Source organism: Homo sapiens, chromosome 7 (genome assembly GCF_000001405.40).
Source record: "Homo sapiens chromosome 7, GRCh38.p14 Primary Assembly".
NCBI lineage: Eukaryota > Metazoa > Chordata > Mammalia > Primates > Hominidae > Homo > Homo sapiens.
In genome coordinates this window covers 105,341,199-105,369,179 of record NC_000007.14, presented here as the reverse complement: position 1 = coordinate 105,369,179, position 27,981 = coordinate 105,341,199, and the positions used below count along the sequence as shown (strand labels likewise).

The window sequence follows — 27,981 nt, the reverse complement described above, 5'->3', positions numbered from 1 at the left end:
GTGAGACTCTATCTCGAATAATAATAATAATAATAATAATAATAATAATAATAAAATAAATCTTGTGTAGAACTCTATTATGTATAAAGCGGAAAAGGTGGCTCTACTCTGAGAGAATTGGCAGGTGAGAGCTTGGTCCTTGCCGCCTGGCCTTCCCCTTGTCCATTGGGGTGCTCCCCAAGGCAGCTTTGAAGAACACAGTTTGAAGTCCATTGCCCTAAACCATTCCATGTTTTCACTGAGGGAAAAATGAAGGACTGAAGGAGCCTGAGTCTTTTTTTTTTTTTTTTTTTTTGAGATAGAGTTTCGCTTTGTCACCTAGGTTGGAGTGCAGTGGCACGATCTCAGCTCACTCCTACCTCTGCCTCCCGGGTTCAAGCGATTCTCATGCTTCAGCCTCCTGAATAGATGGGATTACAGGCATGCGCCACCATGCCTGGCTAATTTTTTGTATTTTTAGTAGAGACGGGGTTTCATCATGTTGGCAGGCTGGTCTTGAACTCCTTACCTCAAGTGATCCACCAACCCTGGCCTCCTTAAGTGCTGGGATTACAGGCTTGAGCCGCCGTGGCCAGCAGAGCGTGGCTCTTGATGAAAGTCACTTATCTTTTTAGTGCCTTAGCCAGTTTAGAATGCTGGATTAGAGCCCTGGATGCTGATTCAGTGGTCTTTTGTACTACCATTAAGCTGCAGGATGACAAGCCCTTCTGGGACTGATACAGAAAATAGTTTCTAGTCCTCAAAGAGAGATTATTGTAAGAACCTTACTTTTAACTCCTTCCTTTGCTGGGAGGAAAAGTAAAAAGTAAAAATTTTTTTTCTCTGAAGAGACCCTTAACAGGTCACATGGACCTGCACGGTTTTATCATGTGCATCTATGAGAGTGGGATGGAAGATGCTTTATATAGAAAATCTTAGAATACAGGAAAACAGTTTTTCTAAAAAAGCAATAAGGCCATGTTTTTTACTTTAGCTTTAAAAACTTTTTTTATTTTATTTTTCAGTAGCTACAAGGTTGTCTTTAAATATTCTTTATAGTAACTAACACCCTGTAGGCATGACCAGTAATAGAAATAATTTCCTCTTTTCCTTGGCTCCACTGATGCCCACTGCCTCTTCTTTGTGATCAGTTAAATGTACACTTTAGATGATTCTAAGCTTTGTAACTGTACTCTCCTTAAGTTTTAAATCCCATTACTGAAAAGCGTATACAGTTTGGCTATCAACAACATGTGTTTGTCCTGTGGAAATTTTTTTCAATAAATATATTGGTAAATTTTTTGGAGATTTTCTGCAGTTTGAAAAAACTTGAACTATGTACCCTAGAAATATTTAAAAACATTAAAAAGGTATGTCATGAATGCTTAAAATATTTGTAGATGCTAGCCTGTTTTATCATTTACCAACATGAAATGTACACAAAATGTGTGTGTACAGACTGTACACGGCACTATTTGCAGTCAAGAGAAGTGCAAACATAAAGGTGCAGTGTTAAATCATAACTGCATGGAATTAACTGTAGTATATGCCATACTGCTGTAATAACTTTGTAGCTACCTCCTGTTGCTTTTGCAGTGAGCTCAAGTGTTGGAAGTATCCCTGTGATGCCCTGTAACTGGCCAGGTGTGGTCACTCATGCCAGTAATCCCAGCTCTTTGGGAGGCTGAGGTGGGTGGATTGCTTGAGCCAAGGAGTTGGAGACCAGCCTGGGCAACACGGTGAGACCCCGTCTCTATAAAAAATACAAAAATTAACTGGGTGTAGTGGTGCGTGCCTATAGTCCCAGCTACTCAGGAGGCTGAGGCGGGAGGATTGCTTGACCCCAGGAGGCCGAGGTTGCGGTGAGCCAATATCATGCCAGTGCACTCCAGCCTGGGTGACAGAGCCGGAACCTGTCTCAAAAACAAAACAAAACAAAGCCCTGTGATGCCAGTTATCTCCATGTGGGTAGCTTGTCTCCAGTAAATTGCGTATCTTGGTAAAAAGTGATCTCTGCCAGGTGTGGTGGCTCATACCTGTAATACCAGCACTTTGGGACACCCAGGTGGGAGGAGCATTTGAGCTCAGGAGTTCGAGACTATCCTAAAACAAACAAACAAACAAAAAAAAAAACAAAAAAAAAGGTGATCTCATATTTTTCTTACATATATTTCACTATGTTTAGTGCAAGTCTGTAAACTTTGAATAACACCATGGGACTCACGGAGTGACACTAGTGATACTGGAAGTGCTCCCAGGAAGGAGAGAAATGTCATGATGTTACAAGAAAAAGTCAAATTGCTTGATATGCATCTTAGAATGAGTGCATTCTATGTTTGCCTGCCATTTAAAGATAAATGAATTCAGCATACATGACTATAGTGAAAAAAAGGAAAGGAAATTCATGAAGCCATTGTTGCAGCTATACCAGCATGCATGAAAATCTCACACTTCTTGTGAAATATTCTTTTATCTTGTATTGAAAATGCAGCTTTTATGTGGGTGCAGGATTGCAATAAGAAAGGCATACCTGGCTGGGCCTGGTGGCTCACGCCTGTAATCCCAGCACTTTGGGAGGCTGAGGCGGGCGGATCACGAGGTCAGGAGTTTGAGATCAGCCTGGCCCAATATGGTGAAACTCTGCCTCTACTAAAAATACAAAAATTAGCTGGTTGTGGTGGTGCACGCCTGTAGTCCCATCTGCTTGGGAGGCTGAGGTAGAAGAATTGCTTGAGGCCGGGAGGCAGAGGTTGCAGTGAGTCAAGATCATGCCACTGCATTCCAGCCTGTGCGACAGGGTGACACTCCGTCTCAAAAAGAAAAAAAAAAAAAAGGCATACCTGTAGATGCTAATACAATTAGAGAAAAAGCAAAGTCACTGTATGACAACTGTAAAGCAAAAGAGGAAGGATCTAAAGCTATAGAATTTAATTCCAGCAAAAGATGGTTTGATAATTTTAGAGGTTTGCCTTAAGAAATGAGGAGATAGCAGGAGAAGCCACCAAGTGGCAGCGTATGAGTTCCCAGACACCATTAAGAAAATCATTAGGCCGGGTGCGGTGGCTCATGCCTGAAATCCCAGCACTTTGGGAGGCCGAGGTGGGCGGATCACAAGGTCAAGAGATCAAGACTATCCTGTCCAACATCATGAAACCCTGTCTCTACTAAAAATACAAAGATTAGCTGGGCGTGGTAGCGTGCGCCTGTAGTCGCAGCTACTTGGGAGGCTGAGGCAGGAGAATCACTTGAACCCTGGAGGCAGCGGTTGCAGTGAGCCGAGATCGCGCCATGCACTCCAGCCTGTCAACAAAGCGAGACTCCGTCTAAAAAAAAAAAAGGAAGAAATAAAATCATTGAGGAGAAAGGCTATCTGCCTGAATAGTTTCTGTTTTTTGTTTTTTTAAATTAAAAGATAGAGTTTTGTTCTCCCAGGCCGGAGTGAAGTGGCATGATGACTCACTCCAGCCCTGACCTACTAAGCTCACATGATCCTCCCATCTCAGTCCCCCGAGTAGCTGAGACTGCAGGTACACGCCACCACGCCCAGCTAATTTTTAAATCATTTTGTGGAGACTCAGTCTCCCTGTGTTGCCCAGGCTCGTCTTCGATTCTCCTGCCTTGACCTCCCAGAGTGTTGGGATTACAGATGTGAGAGCCATTGCACCTGGCCTAAATATATATATATATATAATTTTTTTTTTTTTTTTTTTTTTGAGACAGAATTTCGCTCTTGTTGCCCAGGCTGGAAATGCAATGGTGCAATCTCGGCTCACTGCAATCTCCGCCTCCTGGGTTCAAGCGATTCTCCTGCCTCAGCCTCCTGAGTAGCTTGGATTACAGGCACCCGCCACCACACCTGGCTAATTTTTTGTATTTTTAGTAGAGATCGGGTTTCACAATATTGGCCGGGCTGGTCTCCAGCTCCTGATCTCAGGTGATCCACCCGCCTCAGCCTTCCAAACTGTTGGGATTACAGGCGTGAGCCACTGTGCCTGGCCCTAAATGCCAGATGGAAGTGCCCCATTAGATGGAAGTGCCCCATTCTGGAAAAAAATTGCCATAGAGGACATTAATCCAATTTGTAAGGAAAAGAAGTAAGCACCAGGATTTAAGGCAGGAAGGGATGGGCTAACTCTACTCTTTTGTGCAAATGTAGTCAGGTTTATGATCAGGACTGCCCTTGTCTGTAAAGCTGCTAACCTTGAACCTTGAAGGGATAAGAGAAATACTGGCTGCCAGTCCTTTGGTTGTACAAGAAGTCCTGGACAATGAGAACCCTTTTTTGGATTGATTCCATTGATGCTTTGTCCCTGGAGTCAGGAAATACCTAGCCAGTGAGAGATTGCCTTTTAAAGTTCTTTTGATTTTGGACAATGCCCCTGACCATCCAGAACCCCAGGGGTTCAGCACAGAAGGTGTGGAAGTAGTTTACTTGCCCCCAAACACAATGTCTCTAATTTAGCTTCTACATCAGGGAGCCTTAAGGACCTTTAAGACTCGGCCAGGCGCGGTGGCTCTCCCCTGTAACCCCAGCACTTTGGGAGGCCGAGGCAGGCGGATCACGAGATCAGGAGTTTGAGACCAGCCTGGCCAACATAGTGAAACCCCGTCTCTACTAAAAATACAAAAAAAATTAGCTAGGCATGATGGCGGGTACCTGTAATCCCAGCTACTTGGGAGGCTGAGGCAGGAGAAGCGCTTGAATCTGGGAGGTGGCGGTTGCAGTGAGCCAAGATCATGGCACCGCACTCCAGCCAGGGTGACAGTGCGAGACTCCTTCTCAAAAAAAAAAAAACGTTACACACGGTATGCTATGGAAAGGCTTTTCAGTGCAGCAGAAGAGAACTCAATAGAGAGACCATCATGAATGTCTGGGTTGTACCACTGAAGATACCATTGTTGTTACAGAAAAAGCAATGAAAACCATCAGGCTTGAAACAAATTCCTGCTGGAGAAGACTGTCCAGATGTGCATGACTTCAAAGGATTTTTATTAAAAATTATTTTATTATTTTTTAATTATACTTTAAGTTCTAGGGTACATGTGCACAGCATGCAGGTTTGTTACATATGTATACATGTGCCATGTTGGTTTGCTGCACCCATCAACTTGTCATTTACATTAGGTATTTCTCCTAATGCTATCCCTCTCCCAGCCCCCCACCCCACGACAGGCCCCAGTGTGTGATGTTCCCCGCCCTGTGTCCATGTGTTCTCATTGTCCGGCTCCCACCTACGAGTGAGAACATGCGGTGTTTGGTTTTCTGTCCTTGTGATAGTTTGCTGAGAATGATGGTTTCCAGATTCATTCATGTCCCTGCAAAGCACATGAACTCATCCTTTTTTATGGCTGCATAGTATTCCATGGTGTATATGTGCCACATTTTCTTAATCCACTCTATCATTGATGGACATTTGGGTTGGTTCCAAGTCTTTGCTATTGTGAATAGTGCCGCAATAATAAACATACATGTGCATGTGTAGTAAGCCTAGTAGCATGATTTATAATCCTTTGGGTATATACCCAGTAATGAGATGGCTGGGTCAAATGGTATTTCTAGTTCTAGATCCTTGAGGATTCACCACACTGCCTTCCACAAGGGTTGAACTAATTTACACTCCCACCAACCGTGTAAAAGTGTTCCTATTTCTCCACATCCTCTCCAGCACGTGTTGTTTCCTGACTTTTTAATGATTGCCATTCTAATTGGTGTGAGATGGTATCTCATTGTGGTTTTGATTTGCATTTCTCTGATGGCCAGTGATGATGAGCATTTTTTCATGTGTCTGTTGGTTGCATAAATGTCTTCTTTTGAGAAGTGTCTGTTCATATCCTTTGCCCTCTTTTTGATGGGGTTGTTTGATTTTTTCTTGTAAATTTGTTTAAGTTCTTTGTAGATTCTGGATATTAGCCCTTTGTCAGATGGGTAGATTGCAGAAATTTTCTCCCATTCTGTAGGTTGTTTACTCTGATGGTAGTTTCTTTTATTTTTTATTTATTTTTATTTATTTTTTATTATACTTTAAGTTCTAGGGTACATGTGCACAACGTGCAGCTTTATTACATATGTATACATGTGCCATGTTGGTGTGCTGCACCCGTTAACTCATCATTTACATTAAGTATATCTCCTAATGCTATCCCTCCCCTCTCCCCCCACCCCACGACAGGCCCCGGTGTGTGATGTTCCCCATCCTGTGTCCAAGTGTTCTCATTGTTCAGTTCCTATGAGTGAGAACATGCAGTGTTTGGTTTTCTGTCCATGCGATAGTTTGCTTAGAATGATGGTTTCCAGCTTCATCCATGTCCCTACAAAGGAACTCATTCTTTTTTATGGCTGCATAGTATTCCGTGGTGTATATGTGCCACATTTTCTTAATCCAGTCTATCACTGATGGACATTTGGGTTGGTTCCAAGTCTTTGCTATTGTGAATAGTGCCACAGTAAACATACATGTACATGTGTCTTTATAGCAGCATGATTTATAATCCTTTGGGTATATACCCGTTAATGGGATGGCTGGGTGAAATGGTATTTCTATTTCTAGATCCTTGAGAAATCACCACACTGTCTTCCACATGGTTGAACTAGTTTACAGTCCCACCAACAGTTTAAAAGTGTTCCTATTTCTCCACATCCTCTCCAGCACCTGTTGTTTCCTGACTTTTTTTTTTTTTTTTTTTGAGACAGAGTCTTGCTCTGTCGCCCAGGCTGGAGTGCAGTGGCGTGATCTCAGCTCACTACAAGCTCTGCCTCCTGGGTTCAGGCCATTCACCAAGTTAGCCAGGATGGTCTCCATCTCCCAACCTTGTGATCCACCCGCCTTGGCCTCTCAAAGTGCTGGGACTACAGGCGTGAGCCACCGCGCCCGGCCATTTCCTGACTTTTTAATGATCGCCATTCTAACTGGTGTGAGATGGTATCTCATTGTGGTTTTGATTTGCATTTCTCTGATGGCCAGTGATGATGAACATTTTTTCATGTGTCTGTTGGCTGCATAAATGTCTTCTTTTGAGAAGTGTCTGTTCATATCCTTCGCCCACTTTTTGATGGGGTTGTTTGATTTTTTTTCTGGTAAATTTGTTTAAGTTCTTTGTAGATTCTGGATATTAGCCCTTTGTCAGATAGGTAGATTGTAAAAATTTTCTCCCATTCTGTAGTGCGTGTTCACTCTGATGGTAGTTTCTTTTGCTGTGCAGAAGCTCTTTAGTTTAATTAGATCCTGTTTTTCAATTTGGCTTTTGTTGCCAGGCGCTTTCGGTGTTTTAGTCATGAAGTCCTTGCCCATGCCTATGTCCTGAATGGTATTGCCTAGGTTTTCTTCCTAGGGTTTTTATGGTTTTAGGTCTAACATTTAAGTCTTAAATCCATCTTGAATTAATTTTTGTATAAGGTGTAAGGAAGAGATCCAGTTTCAGTTTTCTACATATAGCTAGCCAGTTTTCCCAGCACCATTTATTAAATGGGGAATGCTTTCCCCATTGCTTGTTTTTGTCAGGTTTGTCAAAGATCAGATGGTTGTAGATGTGCGGTGGTATTTCTGAGGCCTCTGTTCTGTTCCATTGATCTATATATCTGTTTTGGTACCAGTACCATGCTGTTTTTGTTACTGTAGCCTTGTAGTATAGTCTGAAGTCAGGTAGCATGATGCCTCCAGTTTTATTCTTTTTGCTTAGGATTGTCTTGGCAGTGCGTGCTCTTTTTTGGTTCCGTATGAACTTTAAAGTAGTTTTTTCCAATTCTGTGAAGAAAGTAATTGGTAGCTTGATGGGGATGGCATTGAATCTATAAATTACCTTGGGCTGTATGGCCATTTTCACGATATTGATTCTTCCTATCCATGAGCATGGAATGTTCTTCCATTTGTTTGTGTCCTCTTTTATTTCATTGAGCAGTGGTTTGTAGTTCTCCTTGAAGAGGTCCTTCACATCCCTTGTAAGTTGGATTCCTAGGTATTGTATTCTCTTTGTAGCAATTGTGAATGGGAGTTCACTCATGATTTGGCTCTCTGTGTGTTATTGGTATATAGGTGTATAAGAATGCTTGTGATTTTTGTACATTGACTGAGACTTTGCTGAAGTTGCTTATCAGCTTAAGGAGATTTTGGGCTGAGATGATGGGGTTTTCTAAATAGACAATCATGTCATCTGCAAACAGGGACAATTTGACTTCCTCTTTTCCTAATTGAATACCCTTTATTTCTTTCTCTTGCCTGATTGCCCTGGCCAGAACTTCCAGCAACGTGTTGAATATTCGAGTGGTGAGAGAGGACATCCTTGTCTTGTGCCAGTTTTCAAAGGGAATGCTTCCAGTTTTTGCCCATTCAGTATGATATTGGCTGTGGGTTTGTCATAAATAGCTCTTACTATTTTGAGATACGTTCTGTCAATACCGAATTTATTGAGAGTTTTTAGCATGAAGGCCTGTCGGGTTACCCACAAAGGGAAGCCCATCAGACTAACGGCGGATCTCTCGGCAGAAACCCTACAAGTCAGAAGACAGTGGGGGCCAGTATTCAGCATTCTTAAAAGAATTTTTAACCCAGAATTTCATATCCAGCCAAACTAAGCTTCATAAGTGAAGGAGAAATAAAATCCTTTACTGACAAGCAAATGTTGAGAGATTTTGTCACCACCAGGCCTGCCTTACAAGAGCTCCTGAAGGAAGCACTAAATATGGAAAGGAAAAGCTGGTACTAGCCACTGCAAAAAAAATTGTAAAGACCATCGATGCTATGAGGAAACTGCATCAACTAATGGGCAAAATAACCAGCTAACATCATAATGACAGGATCAGATTCACACAGTATTAACCTTAAATGTAAATGGGCTAAATGTCCCAATTAAAAGACACAGACTGGCAAATTGGATAGAGAGTCAAGACCTATCAGTGTGCTGTATTCAGGAGACCCATCTTACCTTCAGAGACACACATAGTCTCAAAATAAAGGGATGGAGGAAGATGTACCAAACAAATGGAAAGCAGAGAAAAGCAGGGGTCGAGATCCTAGTCTCTGATAAAACAGACTTTAAACCAGCAAAGAACAAAAGAGAGACAAAGAAGGCCATTACATAATGGTAAAGGGATCAATTCAACAAGAAGAGCTAACTATCCTAAATCTGTATGCACCCAATACAGGAACATCCAGATTCATAAAGCAAGTCCTTAGAGACCTACAAAGAGACTTAGATTCCCACACAATAATAATGGGAGACTTTAACACCCCACTGTCAATATTAGACAGATCAACGAGACAGAAGGTTAACGAGGATATCCAGGACTTGAACTCAGCTCTGCACCAAGCGGACCTAATAGATATCTACAAAATTCTCCACCCCAAATCAACGGAATATACATTCTTCTCAGCACCACATCGCACTTATTCTAAAATTGATCACAAGATTTATAGTCAAGGAAATCATGAAACAGATTGTAGATATGGCAAAAAAGGTGGGGGTTGGAAGGATGAACGGTTTCCAGATGTGGATTGTGAGAAATTCAAGAGCCAGTAGACATCACACCACAGGAATTATCAGATGACTTGATGGAAATGAGTGCTTCCATACCACTGCCAGACGATGAGGAAGATGACATAGCAGCAGCAGTGCCATAAAACAAATTGACGTTAGACAATTAAGCAGAGGCGTTCTGATTATTGAAGACTGCTTTTGACGTCTTTTTTACTGTGAAGTTGATAAGCATGGAGACCTTTATGATGATCCACTTAATAAATAGTGCTGTGGGCCTGGCACAGTGGCTCATGCCTGTAATCTTGTCACTTTGGGAGGCCAAGGAGGGCAGATCACAAGGTCAGGACTTCGAGGCCATCCTCACTAACACAGTGAAACCCCATCTCTACTAAAAATAAAAAAAATTAGCTGGACATGGTGGCATGCGCTTGCAATCCCAGCTACTTGGGAGGCTGAGGCAGGTGAATTGCTTGAACCCGGGAGGCAGAGGTTGCAGTGAGCCAAGATCGCGCCATTGCACTCCAGCCTGGGTGATAGAGCGAGCCTTTGTCTCCAAAAAAAAAAAAAAAAAAAAAAAAAGCTGTGGTTTGGATATGGTTTGTTTGACCTCTCCAAGCCTCATGTTGAAATTTGATACCCCAGTGTTGGTGGTGGGGCCTGGTGTTTGGATTGTAGGGGGTGGATCCCTCTTGAATGGCTTGAGGTGTCATTCTTGCTTCTCACTCTTAGTTTCCAGAGAACTGGTTGTTGAAAAGAGGCACCTCCACCTCCACTCTTGCTTTCTCTCTCTCTCTCTCTCTCTGTGTTCTTAGCACCCCTTTCTTCCAGCATGGGTGGAAGCAGCCTGAGACCCTCACTGAAATTAGGTGCTGGTGCCATGCTTGTTGTACAGCCTGCAAAACCATGAGCCACATACATCTCTTTTCTTTATATTAATAAATTACCCAGGCTTAGATATTCCTTCTTTAGCAGCAAAAATAGACTAAGACAAATAGTAAATATATTTTCTCTTCCTTATGATTTTTTCTTTCTTTTCTTTTTTGAGACAGGGTCTCTTGTTCTGTTGCCCAGGCTAGAGTGCAGTGGCATGACCTCGTCCTACTGCAACCTTTGCCTCCCGGGCTCAGGTGATCCTCCCACCTCAGATCCCCAAGTAACTGACACGGCAGGCAAGAACCACCATGCCCGGCTAATTTTTGTGTTTTTAATAGAGACTGAGTTTCGTCATGTTGTCCAGGCTGGTTTTGAACTCCTGAGCTCAAGTGATCCACTTGCTTCAGCCTTCCAAAGTGCTGGGATTATAGGTGTGAGCCACCATGCATGGCCCCTTATGATTTTCTTAATAAAGTTTTCTTTTGTTTATCTTGTTTTATTGTAGGAATATTGTGTATAATACATATAACATACAAAATGTGTGTTATCTACTGTTTATGTTATTGATAAGGCTTCTGGTTTTTGGGGAGTCAGAAGTTGTACGTGGGGTGTTTTTTTTTTTTTTTTTTTTTTGAGACGGAGTCTCGCTCTGTTGCCCAGGCTGGAGTGCAGTGGCGTGATCTCGTCTCACTGCAACCTTCGCCTCCCGGGTTCAAGCGATTCTCCTGCCTCAGCCTCTTGAGTAGCTGGGACTCCAGGAACATGCCAGCACGCCCAACTAATTTTTGTATTTTTACTAGAGACAGGGTTTTACCATGTTGGTCAGGATGGTCTTGATCTCTTGACCTTTGTGATCCACCCACCTCAGCCTCCCAAAGTGCTGGGATTATAGGCGTGAGCCACTGTGCCTGGCCTGTATGTGGATTTTTGACTGTGCAGAGATGGGGGTGGCTTCCCTAATCCCTGCGTTGTTCAAGGATCAGTTGTGCTTCCCCTGTATGGGCAAAGGCTATCTTATTTACCAGAGATTTGATAGTTCCCATTTCTCCAAAGCCTCATTTATCTTTGAATCTTTTTTTTGTTTTGTTTTGTTATTGTTTTTTTTGTTTTTTGAGACGGAGTCTTGCTCTTGTTGCCCAGGCTGGAGTGCAATGGTGTGATCTTGGCTCACTGTAACCTCCGCCTCCTGGGTTCAAGCAATTCTCTTGCCTCAGCCTCCCGAGTAGCTGGGGTAACAAGCGCACACCACCGCACCCGGCTATTTTTTGTATTTTTAGTAGAGATGGGGTTTCACCATGTTGGCTAGGCTGGTCCTGAACTCCTGACCTCAGGTGATCCACCAATCTCGGCTGGTATTACATCAGATCTAGAAATAGTGAAGAGATATTTATTGTTTATAGCAGGTCATCTCTATTTAGGTTTGTAATTTCAAACTAAAATAAAGGGACAGGGAGGAGACTAAGACATGATGAAAGGAATGGAGGACTCCAGCAGTTTTTTAAAAAATTAGTGTTATTTGGCTGGGCGCAGTGGCTCACGCCTGTAATCGCAGCACTTTGGGAGGCCGAGGCAGGCGGATCACAAGGTCAGGAGATCGAGACCATCCTGGCTAACACAGTGAAACCCCATCTCTACTAAACAAAATACAAAAAATTAGCCAGGCGTGGTGGTGGGCGCCTGTAGTCCCAGCTACCCGGGAGGCTGAGGCAGGAGAATGGCATGAACCTGGGAGGCGGAGCTTGCAGTGAGGCCGAGATCGCACCACTGCACTCCAGCCTGGGCGACAGAGCGAGACTCCGTCTCAAAAAAAAAAAAAAAATTAGTGTTTACCTAAAAAAATCAAGTGATGGTTTACTATGAAAAGATTTAATAGTCTTAGTTGGGAGCTTTAGCTGATAAAGGAGAAGGTGGATACACATAAGGCCTTTACCATAGTGTTGTTAGGGTAGCAGATGCTTTGGGAGTACTAGCTGTCTCAGGGTCTTTCATTTCTCATATTTTGCCTCTATCATGTATCTTCCACAGGACCAGAGAAATCTCTGTTAAAGAAGAGATACTTGCATTTTTAACCCAAGGTTTTGAAAATTTTGGAAATAACTGTTCCTTCTTTTGGGTATTTAATATATCTAATAGAGATGCAGACTTACATTTCACTATGAAAAAGCAAATACAGGTTGTACTTGCCTTAATTTTAAGCTGAGTATGTATGATGTTGAACTGTGTGAAATTGTCTTTTTTTGCCCCAAACTATCAAATTTCATGGGTTTATCTAAATTACTCACTATATTAGCTACAAAAAATAGCTAATATAGTGAGTAACATTTATTAAGTATTTATTGTGTATTGGGCATTCTGCTACATACTTTAATATGCATTTATCAGGTTTAATTGTCACAACACTCTAAACTGGGCTTAAAAATTTTTTCAGCTGCCCAGATTCCATTTATCCTAGTCGAAATGGGCCTCAGTTTTTGTATAGGGATTATCTCTTGTCCATTTTTGGTTCACATTGTTTGGGTTTCTCTCTAGTTTCCTTCATGCTCCAGGATGGAGCACGGCCTATTTTACTTAGTGCCTTCCACTTTTCAGTTGGAGAGCCCACCCAGAGCTAATCTTAGGGCCTTTGCATGAGGATTTGGGAGAGGCTCTTGCTTTCTCCTATAAGCTTCAATGGAGAGGATGTGAAATAGAGGTATTGAAGCCATTTTGTCACCATGCAGATCCTGAAAATGAACAGAGAACTGAGCCTTGCCAAGAGTTAGAAACTCAATCCTGATGGTGATATTTATTTATTTAATTTAATTTATTTATTTTAGAGTCTCACTGTGTCATCCAGGCTGGAGTGCGGTGGCATGGTCTCAGCTCACTGAAACTTCTGCCTTCCAGTTTCAGGTGATTCTCCTGCCTCAGCCTCCCAAGTAGCTGGACTACTGGCAGATGCCACCACGCCTGGCTAATTTTTGTATTTTTTGTAGAGACGGGGTTTCACCATGTGGGCCAGGCTGGTCTCAAAACTCCTGACCTCAAGGGATCTGCTTGCCTCAGCCTCCCAAAGTGCTGAGGTAACAGGCGTGAGGCACCGTGCTTGGCCCTGATGGTGATATTTAAACCCTAACTCAGGCTGTGTCTTATGCAAAGGCTGCCTGCTTGACGTTTAGTTATTTGTTTAAGCAGGGTTGATTTGGATTTTCTATCACTTTTTTTTCTTGGAGACAGGTTCTCTCACCCAGGTTAGAACACAGTGACATTATCATGGCTTACTGCAGCCTTGACCTCCCAGGCTTAAGCAGTCCTCCCACCACAGCCTTCTGAGTAGCTGGGACCACAGGTGTGCTCCACCATGCCTGGCTAATTTTTTAAAAATTTTTATTTTCAGTTGAGATGTGGTCTTGTAATGTTGCCCAGGCTGGTTTCAAACTCCTGAGCTTAAATGATCCTTCTGCCTCTGTTTGCCAAAGTGTTGGGATTACAGGCGTGAGCCACTGTGCCTTGCTTGCTAATGAAAAAAAAATTTTTTTTTTTTCGTAGAGATGAGGTCTTGCCGTGTTGCGCAGGCTAGTCTTGAACTCCTGGTCTCTAGCACTCCTCCTGCTGTGGCCTCCCAAAGTGCTAGGATTATAGGCGTTAGCCACTGTGCCCTGCTGTATTTTCTGTTACTTAAAACTGAAAGAGCAACATTGTTGATCACAGCCAGATGGAAACAACTCAGATGTCAGTTGATGAATAAACAAAATGTAGCATATCCTTACAATGGAATATTATTCAGCAGTAAAAATAATGAAGTACTGTTACATGCTACAACATGGATATATCTTGAAAACATTATACTGGATCAAAGAAGTCAGTCATGAAAGACCACTTATTAATATGATTTAATTTATATCAAATATCTGGAATAAGCAAACTCATAGAGACAGAAAGTAGATTTATGGTTACCTAGAGCTGGTGGGGAGGGGGAAATATGGGGCGTGCCTGTTGATGGGTATGTGTTTCTTTTTGGGGTGATAAAAATACTGTAAAATTGATTTTGGTAATGGTTGTACAGCTCTGTGAATATACTGAAGTCATTAAGTTGTGCACTTTAATTGGGTGAATTGTACATGTGAGTTATATATCTGACTGTAGTTGTTATTAAAAAACAACAGGAGGCCATGTGGGCTGCTAGGAGTAGCAATGTCTGTTCCCAGCCAGCAGGTAGAGACCAGGGCTGGACAGAGGAGTATGGGCTGTGCTGCAGATTATTTGTGGTACCCAACTGTTGCATAAAACAGGGTGTGATCTCTTGCATTGCTATGCATGAGTGGATTCCCAGTAAATTGTGCCAGGCTGCCTGATGATGTGTGGCTTGTGCTTTGGATCGTAATGCTTACCTATGCTACTTAAGTTACATACCCTGTGGCCTTTGTGGCCAGGACTGTGGGCTACTACCTGGAGTGATTCGTTAGGGGAAAGGACCCACAGCCTGTGCAGGAGGAAAAAAGCATCTCTGAGTACAGGGTGGATGAGCTGGATGAGCTGCCGGGCAAGAGCCACGCACACCCAGGTGGTGAGTCTTAAGGATAAGGTGGAATTTGCCCCATAGCTGTCCTGGACAGAAACTGCCCAGAGAAGAATGAATGGAGGACATAGGGCTCTGTGGTCCCACCATACATGGGGAGACCTGTGACTGGTCCTGTTACCATGTCAACTTAGCCCCAAACCCATCTCTGATTGACTTGGTTGCTTATTTTGGCACATTCTTGCTCCACACAGCCACATACATACTGGCTGCTCCTCGAAGGCCAGGCAGATGCAGCAGCTGTTGGGCCAGCAAAGAGGAAGGTCCTGGAAGGTTCTGGCCTGAACGCTGCATCTGTTGTGTGACAGCCACAACTGCTCAGGCTTCCTTGTCTGTGGGTGCACTGTGGGGAGGAGTGTTATGATAAGAACATTGGCTCTCAGTCTCCCTGGGGAGAAGTTTGGCCTCACGTGGGATTTGGGCGTTGCCTTTAGGAAGGCTCTCTGCATGTCTAGTTCCAGTTTGTACTGGGAAGAATTAAAAAAGTCTGCCAGCTTCTTTAGTTTGTCCTGTCTTTTGTGATGATTCTTTCTGAGATCCCCTCCTATCAGCTCAGGAGTGGGATTTTCTGGAGAAGGAAAGTGTTTTTCTGTTCCTTACTGCTCACCTTGGGGCATTCAGGAACATGGGCCTGATGAATTTGCTTGAAGGCAGTCTGTAATCCCATCACTTTGGGAGGCCAAAGAAGGCGGATCATTTGAGCTCAGGAGTTTGAGACCAGCCTGAGCAACGTGACAAAACCCTGTCTCCACCAAACAACAACAACAACAACAACAACAACAACAACAACAACAAACTGGGCTGGATGGCACGCTCCTGTAATCCCAGCTACTTGGGAGGCTGAGATGGGAGGATTGCTTGAGCCCAGGAGGTCAAGGCTGCAGTGAGCCATGATTGCACCACTGCATTCCAGCCTGGGTGACAGAGGGAGACTGTTTCAAAAAAAAACACAAAAAAACAAAACCATTACCTGGAAGAATTCTAACAGCACTATTATTCTCATTTTACAGATGAGGAACTGAGGCACAGAAATGTTCAGCAGCAGGCCCATTGTTTAGAGCTGATAGGTTGTAGAGCTGAGATTTAAAACTACCAAGTCGAAGCTTACAACTGTGCTATCTTACTTTTTTCAATTAAGAGTCATCCTTATGGAACTTTGGAGTTGGGAGTTCCTTAGCAATTACTTAATCTAACCCTTTCATTTTACTGATGAGAAAATTGAACCTTAGATAATAAGGGATTTATGACTTAGTCTCAGAGATAGGCAGGTAAACAACTAGCAGTGACACAAGGTGGAATAGAATGTTAACCAATAGAGGTACTGGCATTTACTGTGTGAAATTAAGGGAGGGATCATGTAATTCTGATGACTAGCCAAGAGCTTTTTTTTTTTTCTTTTGAGATAGAGTCTCGCTCTGTCACCCAGGCTGGAGTGCACTGGTGCAATCTTGGCTCATGCAACCTCCATCTCCTGGGTTCAAGCAATTCTCCTGCCTCAGCCTCCCGAGTAGCTGGGATTACAGGCGTGCGCCACCACAGCCAGCTAATTTTTGTATTTTTAGTAAGAGACTGGGTTTCACTATGTTGGCCAGGCTGGTCTCGATACCCTGACCTCAAGTAATCTGCCCACCTTGGCCTCCCAAAGTGCTGGGATTACTGGCGTGAGCCACCACACCCAGCCCCTAGTTGTATTAGCTATTTATTACCACATAACAAGTTACTGTGAAGCATAGTGGTTTAATGCAACATTTATCATCTTAGTTTCTGTGGGTTAAGAATTTGGAAGCAGTTGAGTGGGGTGGTTCTGGCTCAGGGTTGCAGTCATTTTGAAGGCTTGGCTGAGGCTGGAGGATCTGCTTCCAGGCTGTTGGCAGGAGGCCTTGCCTGTTGCTCTGTGGACCTCTTCTTGAATGTTCTCACAACATGTCAGCTGGCTTCATCAAGAGGGAGCAAGGAGGAAGCTGCGGTTACATTTTTATAACACACCCTTAGAAGACCTCACACTGCCACTTCTGCCACGTTTGTTAGAAGGGAGTTACTGGGTACAGCCCACACTCAAGGGAGAGTTCAGGTTCTGCCCTTTGAAGAGATGCAAATTAAGTAATTTGTGAACATATTTTTGAAACCACCACACTAGCTAAGCATATTGAGGAGGAGAAACAGTGGTGAAGAGTTAAAAGACGGGGATTCTAGACCCAGCTCTGCTGCTTGCTCCATAGGGAGGGAATGATTCATCCTTCCTGAATCTCTTATTTTCTCTAGGAAAATAGGATCATCAAACTGCACAGCCTGCTTTACAGTGGATTATAAGGGTGTCTTAGTCTGTTTACTGTTGCAGTAACTGAATTTCTGAGACTGGGGATCATCAAACTGCACAGCCTGCTTTACAGTGGATTATAAGGGTGTCTTAGTCTGTTTACTGTTGCAGTAACTGAATTTCTGAGACTGGGTTATTTATTTCTTCTTCTTCTTCTTCTTCTTTTTTTTTTTTTTTGAGATGGAGTCTTGTTCTTGTCTCCCAGGCTGGAGTGCAATGGCACAATCTTGGCTCACTGCAGCCTCCGCCCCCCGGGTTCAAGCGATTTTGCTGCCTCAGCCTCCCGAGTAGCTGGGATTATAGGTGCCGGCCACCACACCCAGCTAATTTTTTGTATTTTTAGTGGAGATGGGGTTTCACCATTTTGGCAAGGCTGGTCTTAAACTCCTGACCTCAGGTGATCCTCCTGCCTCGGCCACCCAAAGTGCTGGGATTACAGGTGTGAGCTACTGCGCCCGGCCGGTGATTTATTATTATTATTATTATTTTTGAGACGGAGTGTAACTCTGTCACCTAGGGTGGTCTCAAACTCCTGACCTCAGGTGATTCGCCCTCCTCAGCCTCCCAGAGTGCTGGGATTACAGGGGTGAGCCTGTTGCCCATCCTTAACCAGGGGTGGGCCTGGTTAAGACTGGGTAATTTATAAAGAAAAGGAATTTATTTCTTTCAGTTCTGCATGCTGGGAAGGCCAAGGTCAAGGGGTGCATCTAATGAGGACCTTCTTGCTGGTGGGGACTCTGCAGAGTCCCAAGGTGGCCTAGAGTATCACATGGTTAGGGGGCTGAGTGTGCTAGCTCAGGTCTCTTCCTCTTATAAAGCCACCAGTCGCACTCCCAGGATAATCCGTTAAAATTCGTTAACTCATTAATCCATGAATAGGTTCCATTCATGAGGGCAGAACCGTCATGACACAGTCACCTCTTAAAGACCTGCCTCATAATACCCACATTGGGGATTAAGTTTTAACGTGAGTTTCAGATGGGATAAACATTCAAATCATATCACAGGGTGGTAGCAAATAGATAAAGCGCGTAAGATAGGCTCTGTAAACTTTAATGTAGTATAGGGTTGGCTGGCAGACGTGGCTTCTTACCCTAATCCTGCTGTGTAATGGCTTAATAGCCATGTAATCTGAACATGTTTAAGCTATCTGTGTGCCTCAGTTTTCTCATTTGTAAAATGGGATTAATTATAGCAACTATAGCACTTTGGGAGGCCAAGGTGGGGAGGTCAGGAGTTGGAGACCAGCCTGGCCAATATGGAGAAACCCCGTCTCTACTAATACAAAAATTAGCTGGGTGTGTTGGCGTATGCCTGTAGTTCTAGCTACCTGGGAGGCTGAGGCAGGAGAATTACTTGAAACGGGGGAGGCGGAGGTTGCGGTGAGCTCAGATTGAGCCACTGCACTCCAGCCTGGGTGACAGAGATTCCGTCTCAAAAAAAAAAAAAAAAGAAAAAAAATTGTAGCAACCACAGGGTTATTGTGAGGATCAAGTAAAAATTCAGCTGATATATTTAGCATAATGCCAGCTGTATCAAGATAGGCACTGTTCGGCCAGGCGCGGTGGCTCATGCCTGTAATCCTAGCGCTTTGGGAGGCCAAGGTGGGTGGATGCGAGTTCAGGAGATCGAGAACATCCTGGCCAACATGGTGAAACCCTGTCTCTACTAAAAATACAAAAATTAGCCAGGCTTGGTGGCATGTGCCTATAATCCCAGCTACTCGGGTGGCTGAGGCTGGAGAATTACCTAAAACAGGGGAGGCGGAGGTTGCAGTGAGCTGAGATTGAGCCACTGTACTCCAGTCTGGGTGACAGAGAGAGACTCTTGTCTCCAAAAAAAAAAAAAAAAAATTATAGCAACTACAGGGTTATTGTGAGGATTAAGTAAAAATTCAGGTGATATATTTAGCATAATGCCTGCTGTATTAAGACAGGCACTGTTTGGCCAGGCACAGTGGCTCACGCCTGTAATCCCAGCACTTTGGGAGGCTGAGGCAGGTGGATCACAAGTTCAGGAGATTGAGATCATCCTGGCCAACATGGCGAAACCCCATCTCTACTAAGAATACAAAAATTAGCCAGGTGTGGTGGCATGTGCCTGTAATCCCAGCTATGCAGGAGGCTGAGGCAGGAGAATCGCTTGAACCTGGGAGGTGGAGGTTGCGGTGAGCTGAGATCACGGCACTGCACACCAGCCTGGCGACAGAGCGAGACTCCAGCTCAAAAAAAAAGACAGGCACCGTTCAATAAATAGTAACTTTGCTATTTACTCTTTTCTTCCTGCTGTGTCTGTTCAGTTATCTCTGGTTTTTTGGGCTTAGCCAGTCCTTGACCCTAGGACTTTCACATGGATATTTGTGAAGAATCTCTGATTACATAGGATATTAAGGTGTGGTTGTACTTTAATGCTACTATATGTTATTACTCTCTTTTCCTAATTCTTTTTTTTTTTTTTTTGAGATGGAGTTTCACTCTTGTTGCCCAGGCTGGAGTGCAATGGTGTGATCTCGGCTCACTGCAACCTCCGCCTCCCAGGTTCCAGCGATTTTCCTGCCTCAGCCTCCTGAGTAGCTGGGATTACAGGCATGCGCCACCATGCCCAGTTAATTTTGTATTTTTAGTAGAGATGGGGCTTCTCCATGTTGGTCGGGCTGGTCTTGAACTCCCAACCTCCAGTGATCCGCCTACCTTGGCCTCCCAAAGTGCTGGGATTACAGGCGTGAGCCACCATGCTTGGCCCCCTTAATTCTTTCGTAGGTTCTTGACAAGCTCTGATTTCTTCCTCCCCTCCATCCCCTCCCCTCCCCTCCCCTCCCCCTCTTTCTTTCTCTCTTTCTACAAAAATCTCACTCTGTTGCCCAGGCTGGAGTGCAGTGATGCAAACTAGGCTCACTGCAACCTCCGCCTCCGAGTTCAAGTGATTCTCCTGCCTCTGCCTTCCAAGTAGCTAGGATTACAGGAAAGCGCCACCACGCCCGGCTAATTTTTGTATTTTTAGTAGAGATGGGGTTTCACCATGTTGGCCAGGCTGGTCTCGAACCCCTAACCTCAGGTGATCTGCCCGCCTTGGCCTCCCAAAGTGCTGGGATTACGGCGTGAGCCACTGCGCCCGGCTGCTCTGATATATTCATTTTTTATTTTTTATTTTCTGTTTTCAGTGCTGGCATGAATGATAACTTTCTTTAGATAAATTTTTTTTTTTAAAGTGTATCATCTGATTGGGCAGAACTAGTTTGGTTAGAAAATAGTTCAAATGCAGCTGGGCATGGTGGCTCACGCCTGTAATTCCAGCACTTTGGGAGGCCGAGGCAGTTGGATCACCTGAGGTCAGTAGTTGAACACCAGCCTGGCCAACATGGTGAAATCTCATCTCTACTAAAATACAAAAATTAGTCCGGCATGATGGCGGGTGCCTGTAATGCCAGCTACTCAGGAAGCTGAGGCGGGAGAATCGCTTGAACCATGAGGTGGAGGTTGCAGTGAGCCGTGATCATGCCATTGCACTCCAGCCTGGGCAACAGAGCGAGACTGCATCTCAAAAAAAAAAAAAAAAAGAAAGAAAAAAGTTCAAAGGCATTTTATACCAAATAGTGGCTTATTAAGTTTGACTGCTGTGCGCGGTGACTCACACCTGTAATCCCAGCACTTTGGGAAGTCGAGGTGGGTGGATCACCTGATGTCAGGAGTTCCAGACCAGTCTGACCAACATGGAGAAACCCCGTTTCTATTAACAATACAGAATTGGCCGGGCGTGGTGGCCCATGCCTGTAATCCCAGCTACTGAGGAGGCTGAGGCATGAGAATCGCTTGAACCCGGGAGGCGGAGGTTGCAGTGAGATCGCGCCATTGCACTCCAGCCTGGGGAACAAGAGCGAAACTCCATCTCAAAAAAAAAAAAAAAAAAAAAAAAAGTTTGCCAAGCAGCCATATTCTCATTAATATTAATGGTATATGTCACTGGTATGGACTAATTTGAAAACATTTTGATTTCTGTTTTCAAGGAAATGTGCAATTTTGATACAGCTGTCTTTCATGAGTAGTTGAGACATTTGAGATGTCTTTGTTAATGTAATTTAGAATTAATTGTGCAAGCTACCGCTTTTCTTTCTTTTTTTTTTTTTTTGAGACGGAGTCTCGCCCTGTCACCCAGGCTGGAGTGTAGTGGTGCCATCTCAGCTCACTGCAACCTCTGCCTCCTGGGTTCAAGCAATTCTCCTGCTTCAGCTTTCCAAGTAGCTGGGACCACAAGTTTGTGCCACCATGCCTGGCTAATTTTTAAAATTTTTTTGCAGAGATGGGGGTCTTGCCAGGCTGCCCAGGCAAGTCTCAAACTCCTGGACTCAAGCGATCCTCCCGCCTCAGTCTCCCAAAGTGCTGGGAGTATAGGCATGGGCCGTCATGCCCAGCCATAATTCTTCCTCCTCCTCCCCCTCCCCCTCATTCTTCGGCTGAATATCTCACTGTAGTTACACATATTTATAAGCCAGTCTGTGGTCAATATGGTGGCTCACTCCTGTGATCCCAGCACTTTGAGAGGGTGAGGTGGGAGGATCACTTGAGTCCAGGAATTTGAGACCAGCTTGGGCTAGTGAGACCTGTCTCTACAAAAATTAAAGAAAAAATTAGCCAGGCATGGTGGCCTGTAATCCCAGCACTTTGGGAGACTGAAGCCGGAGGATTGCTTGAGTCCAGGAGTTTAAGACCAGCCTGGGCAACATAGCAAGACCCTGTCTCTACTAAATTAAATAATTAGCCGGGCGCGGTGGCACATGTCTGTAGTCCCAGCTACTTAGAAGGCTGAGTAGAGGTGGGAGGATTGCTTGAGCCCAGAGGTGGAGGTTTCAGTGAGCCATGATCATGCCCACTGCACTTCAGCCTGGGTGACAGAATGAAACCTTAATCTTAAAAAAAAAAAAAGCCAGTCTATCTCATAGCCAAGTAAAAGATAAATTAATTTATATTAATTTTATGGTTCCCGGGCAGTGTGCAATATTTTATTTCTTCATGTAGAATTTTTACTGTTTAGTAAGTCCTTGATTTTCAGGGACCCAGAAAACCGATACCCAAGCAGTTTGGTGCTGCTTAAATCATGCAGTGAATAAAGTTTTTTTTTTTTTTTTTTAACAAATGAGAAGCAGCAAAGACTGGAAGCTCCATCAGTAACTAGAGTTGTGAAATGGAATGTGGCTTTTGTGGGTTTGTTGTTGTTGCTTGTTTTTTTTGAGATGGAGTCTTGCGCTGTCACCCAGGCTAGAGTGCAGTGGTGCGATCTTGGCTCACTGCAACCTCCTCTGCCTGCTGGGGTTCAATCAGTTCTTCTGCCTCAGCCTTCCGAGTAGCTGGGACTACAGGCGCACACCACCATGCCTGGCTAATTTTTGTGTTTTTAGTAGAGACAGGGTTTCACCATATTGGCCAGGCTGGTCTTGAACTCCTGACCTCGTGATCCGCCCGCCTTGCCCTCCTAAAGTGCTGGGATTATAGGCATGAGCCACTGCACCTGGCCTTGTGTTGCTTTTGACAGTGCTGGAGACTTACAGTTTATTGACCTTCATATAACAGTTGTTTGAGTACCCTCTGTGTTCCAGTCACCATGCAGAGGTGACAAGCAGGAGCTGTTTTCTGCATCATAGAGAGTTATGTGATAATCAGTTAAGTGCAGAATCCTTCACTTTCTAGGAAAGGAAATACTGCAGTTGTGAATGCAGTTGAGAATGGTTTGAAGCCAATTAGTAAATTGGAATAGTTACTGATGATGAAATACTTACCTCCAGGAATTTTTTAAAAAACTTTAAAACCTTGGTAAAGGCATTTGGTGATTATTTTGCTGGATTAGAAAACCTTAGAAGTTTTTACAGCTTTGATATAAAGTACACCTGTAGAAAGACTGTCACCTGGTACTTCCCTAAAAGACAGCAGTAAAATTTTGCACTCTTTTTTAAAAGAAAGAAGTTAAGTTTCATCTTAATGTCTAGTCAGCAGAGAGAGGGAAGTATGTAACGTTTTAAACCTTTGCTACCGAACAGAACTTTCTGTGATTATGGAAACATTCTGTATCTGTGATGTCCAGTATCATAGCTGAAAGCTGGCCCTTGGCCATGTGAAGTGTGACTAGTGTGACTGAGGAACCGGTTTTTAATTTTATTTAACTCTAATTTAAATTTAAATAGCTACATGGGGCTGATGGCTATGATAATGGAAAGAGCAGATGTAGAACAACATAGGCCCAAGAGCTCACAGACCATGTCTGTTTTGGACACCAATTTCTTGCCCTACTTGTATTCCAAACACATTGACATGTTCATGTGTAAAATAAATATGAATGAATATATAGATGAACGAGTTTGAGAAGTTTTCATCCTTTGAAAGATAAGCTGTTTCAGTTGTCTTTCATGTTATTCCCTGTAATAACTTACAATTGTTACATAGCACATATAATGTGTTTTCCTTATAATGAATTTTTTTTCGTTTCTTGCGATATGCTTGGTCATATTATTCATTTGTTTAGTTTTTGGCATTTCTTTAAAATGTGAGAATGACTTTAGGGTATCTCATCAAACTCAAAAGCTACTGTTTAGATTTTAGTTTTTCAATCTACGGGAGAGAAGTTGAGACTGAGAATTGAGATTCATCATAATGGACTCTTGACATTTGACATCAATAGAACAGTTGTTACTGTTCTTTGTGTCATTTACACTGCTACTTAAAATCCCCCTTTCCTTCCTTCAGTGTTTTAAATCAGAAACTAGATAAGCAAGTTTCCTTTCCTCCCTTCCCCTCCCCTCCCCTCCCCTCTCCTCTCCTCCCTTGCCTTCCCCTGCCCTCTCCCCTCCTCTCCTGTCCTTGATGGAGTGTCCCTCTTGTTGCCTAGGCTGGAGTGCAATGGTGCGATCTTGGCTCACTGTAACCTCCGCCTCCTGGTTTCAAGTGATTCTTCTGCCTCAGCCTCCTGAGTGGCTGGGATTACAGGCTGCTGCCATCACCCCCAGCTAATTTTTGTGTTTTTAGTAGAGACAGGGTTTCACCATGTTGGCCAGGCTGGTCTTGAACTCCTGACCTCTGGTGATCCACCCACTTCGGCCTCCAAAGTGTTGGGATTACAGGTGTTAGTGACTACTCCTGGCCTTTTTTTTTTTTTTAAGTGTGAGTGTGGGTGAACCTGAATGGCTTTAAATCAGAAGAATGCCTAATTGTTCATTTCCCAGAGGCCAGAAAGACTTGCAAATAAAGTTAATTGTGGTACTTTGGAAATATGGAATAGTGGAAGGGTTGTATAGTCAAATCTTTAAGTTAGAGTGTAGAGCAGGGGTCTGCAAACTGTGGATTGCTGGCCAGATATAGCCTGTCATGTGTGTTTGTATGGCTTGTAAGATAGCTTTTATGTTTTTTAAATGATTGAAAAAATTCAGAAGATTTTGTGACATTACAGGAAATTCAGATTTCAGTGCATAGCCCAGGTACTCTTTGGGAGACTGAGGCAAGAGGATCACTTGAAACCAGGAATTTGAGAACACCCTGGTCAATATAGTGATATCCTATCTCTACCAAAAAAAAAAAAAAAAAAAAAAAAAAGGTGTGGCTGCATACACCTGGGGTCCTAGCTACTTGGGAGGCTGAGGTGGGAGGATCACTTGAGCCCAGGAGTTCAAGGCTGCACTGAGCTATAATCTTCAAAGAAAAAAAAAATTCTATGTCCATAAATAAAGTTTTTTTGAAACACAAGCATATTCATTTTGTTTACATATTGTCTGTGTGCCTTTGTGCCACAGTGGCAGAGTTGGAGTGTTTTTGAGAGAGACCATATTGCTTACAAAGCCTTATGGTTTTGTAAGGTTCACCATTTTCCTTTTTGCAGAAAGCATTTGCTAACCTCTGGGGAGAATGCTTTTGAAAAAATAGAATGATATGACATTGTAGGCCAGGCGTGGTCGCTCGCACCTATAATCCCAGCACTTTGGGAGGCTGAGTCGGGTGGATCACCTGAGGTCAGGAGTTCGAGACCAGCCTGGCCAACATGATGAAACCCCCGTCTCTATTAATAATACAAAAATTAGCCGGGTGTGGTGGCGCATGCCTGTAATCCCAGCTACTTGGGAGGCTGAGGCAGGAGAATCGCTTGAACCCAGGAGGCAGAGGTTTCAGTGAGCCAAGATGGCACCATTGCACTCCAGCCTGGGCGACAAGAGCAAAACTCCATCTCCAAAAAAATAAAAAATAAAAAAGATATGACATTGTAAACTAAGAGATAAAGATTTATGAAAAATGGGGACTTATAATTCATTTGTAATCATAATTGAACAGAATATTGAAACACAAAGTGCTAAAATGGAAATGCACTGTTAGTTAGAAAACGTATGTAGGAAATTAAAGGATGTATGAACAAGGGTTCTTTGCTAATGGAGCCTATATTCTGGTGGAGGATTGGACACCTGAACACACAGATGTCTGCAGATTTCCTGGCCTTCACCTTGTCCTATGTCAAAGACTCCATTACTGCTAAAGTACTGTTTATCTTAATAATGGTGACTTTTGTTGTTGTTTTTTTTGAGTCAGGGTCTCGCTCTATTGCCCAGGCTGGAGTACATTGGTGAAACCTTGGCTTACTGTAGCCTCAACCTCCTGGGCTCAAGTGATCCCCCCACCTCAGCTTCCTGTATAGCTGGGACTACAGGCACGTGCCATCATACCTGGCTAGTTTTTGTATTTTTTGTAAAGATGGGGTTTCATTAAGGTTGCCCAGGCTGGTCTTAAATTCTTGGACTCAAGCAATCATCCCACCTTTGCCTCCCTAATTGCTGGGTTTTCAGGTGCAAACCACTGCTCCTGCCAATAGTGACACATTTTACAAATGTTTGCCATTCAGACATTCAGGACTTTCAAGTCCTCCTTGAAGCCTTCTGTCCACCTTCTTTACCATCTCTTACCACTTATCTGCAAACTTTTATTTAACTTGTGAACACATCCTACCTGCAGGGCCTCTTGGGAGTAGGTTTGGGTTTAGAAATAAATTTTTCAGGCCCTTAGCACATTTTTTATGTCATTTGTATTTGGGTACTAGCTCAGCAGTTTATTCCTTTGCCTCTTTTTGGCTCTGTTTCACCTTTTCCCATTCTAGACTTTTATATATTCCATTTTATTGTCCCTCCTTTCCTCTTCTTGTTTATTTGAAGCTTATCTGTTTTTCCCTATCCAGGTCAAATCCATAGTTTGGGTATGTGGGGCTGTGTGGGAGGAGAATGACAAAGTTAGGGAGAGCATGTAACTTTTTCAGTGAGAGAAAAGCAGCGTATATACGGGGGCATGGAGGAGAGCGAGAACAAGGTGGATTCTGGAAGTAATTTGGTATGTGTTGAGTTTAATGTCTTTGTGGAGAGTGTTGGGAGGTGAGACCAGGGAGCTAGGCAAACAGCATGTTAGGAAAGATCCTTTTCTTGTGTCAGGTGTGAGCCACTGTGCCTGGCCTAGGCAACTCTTTTTGAGGAAATTTTTATATGGCTATATTTGATGTTGTAGGCTTCTCTGACATAGCAGTAATTTTAACGCTAATAAGCTGGACAGTCCTAGGAATGTTTCAGATTCTACAAAAATCACATTTCCCATTTATATTTTTATTTTATTTAATTATTATTATTAATATTATTATTATTATTAATTTGAGACGGAGTTTTGCTCTTGTCGCCCAGGCTGGAGTGCAGTGGTGCGATCTCGGCTCACCGCAACCTCTGCTTCCCGGGTTCAAGAGATTCTCCTGCCTTGGCCTTTCGAGTAGCTGGGATTACAGGCATGTGCCACCATGCCTGGCTCATTTTTTGTATTTTTAGTGGAGACGGGGTTTCACAGGCATGTGCCACCATGCCCAGCTAATTTTTTGTATTTTTAGTAGAGATGGGGTTTCACTGTGTTAGCTAGGATGGTCTCGATCTCCCGACCTCAGCTGATCCGCCCACCTTGGCCTCCCCAAGTGCTGGGATTACAGGCATGAGTCACCCTGCCCAGCCCTTATTTATTTATTTGAGACAGAGTCTCGCTCTGGCAGCCAGGCTGGAGTGCAGTGGCACGATCTCGGCTCACTACAACCTCTGTCTACCAGGTTCCAGCGATTCTCCTGTCTCAGCGTTCCGAGTAGCTGGGATTACAGGCGCGGGCCACCACACCTGGCTAACTTTTTGTATTTTTAGTAGAGATGGGTTTTACCATGTTGGCCAGGCTGGTTTCGAACTCCTGGTATCAGGTGATCACCCACCTCAGCCTCCCAAAGTGCTGGATTACAGGCGTGAGCCACCACTCCCGTCCCCTGTTTTTTTATTTTTGAGACAGAATTGCTTTGTTGCCTAGACTGGAATGCAGTGATGCCATCTTGGCTCACTGCAACCTCTGCCTCCTGAGCTTAAGGATTCTTGTGCCTCAGCTTCCCAAGTAGCTGGGACTACAGGTGTGCACCACCATGCCTGACTAATTTTTGTATTTTTAGTAGAGATGGGGTTGTGCTATGCTGACCAGGCTGGTCCCAAACTCCTGGCCTCAAGCGATCCAGCTGCCTTGGCCTCTCGAAGTGCTGGGATTACAGGCATGAGGTATGCGTCCTGCCACATTCCCCCTTTTTTTTTTTTTTTTTTTTTTTTGAGACGGAGTCTCGCCCTTTCGCCCAGGCTGGAGTGCAGTGGCACGATCTTGGCTCACATCTGCCTCCCAGGTTCCAGTGATTCTCTTGCCTCAGCCTCCTGAGTAGCTGGGATTATAGGCCTGCGCCATCACGCCTGGTTAATTTTTGTGTTTTTAGT

The 27,981-nt window shown here is 43.8% G+C and overlaps 1 protein-coding gene and 1 pseudogene across 26 annotated transcripts in view, besides 2 other annotated features; both read left to right on the top strand.

The window, feature by feature from the left end:
• SRPK2 (SRSF protein kinase 2) overlaps window positions 1-27,981 on the top strand; it is a 284,618-nt gene that overhangs the window by 30,178 nt on the left and 226,459 nt on the right. The window lies entirely within an intron of this gene.
• Window positions 11,188-15,379, top strand: LOC124901716 (small integral membrane protein 12-like; annotated as a pseudogene).
• Window positions 16,747-16,826: an enhancer, noted in NCBI's record as "active region_26461". NCBI's record gives its function as "activates an Ori minimal core promoter by ATAC-STARR-seq in GM12878 lymphoblastoid cells {active_cell/tissue: GM12878}" and the evidence as "EXISTENCE:reporter gene assay evidence [ECO:0000049][PMID:35858748]".
• Window positions 27,343-27,844: an enhancer, noted in NCBI's record as "H3K27ac hESC enhancer chr7:104981783-104982284 (GRCh37/hg19 assembly coordinates)". NCBI's record gives its function as "activates a minimal SCP1, AML or CMV promoter by ChIP-STARR-seq in primed H9 embryonic stem cells {active_cell/tissue: H9 hESC(primed)}" and the evidence as "EXISTENCE:reporter gene assay evidence [ECO:0000049][PMID:30033119]".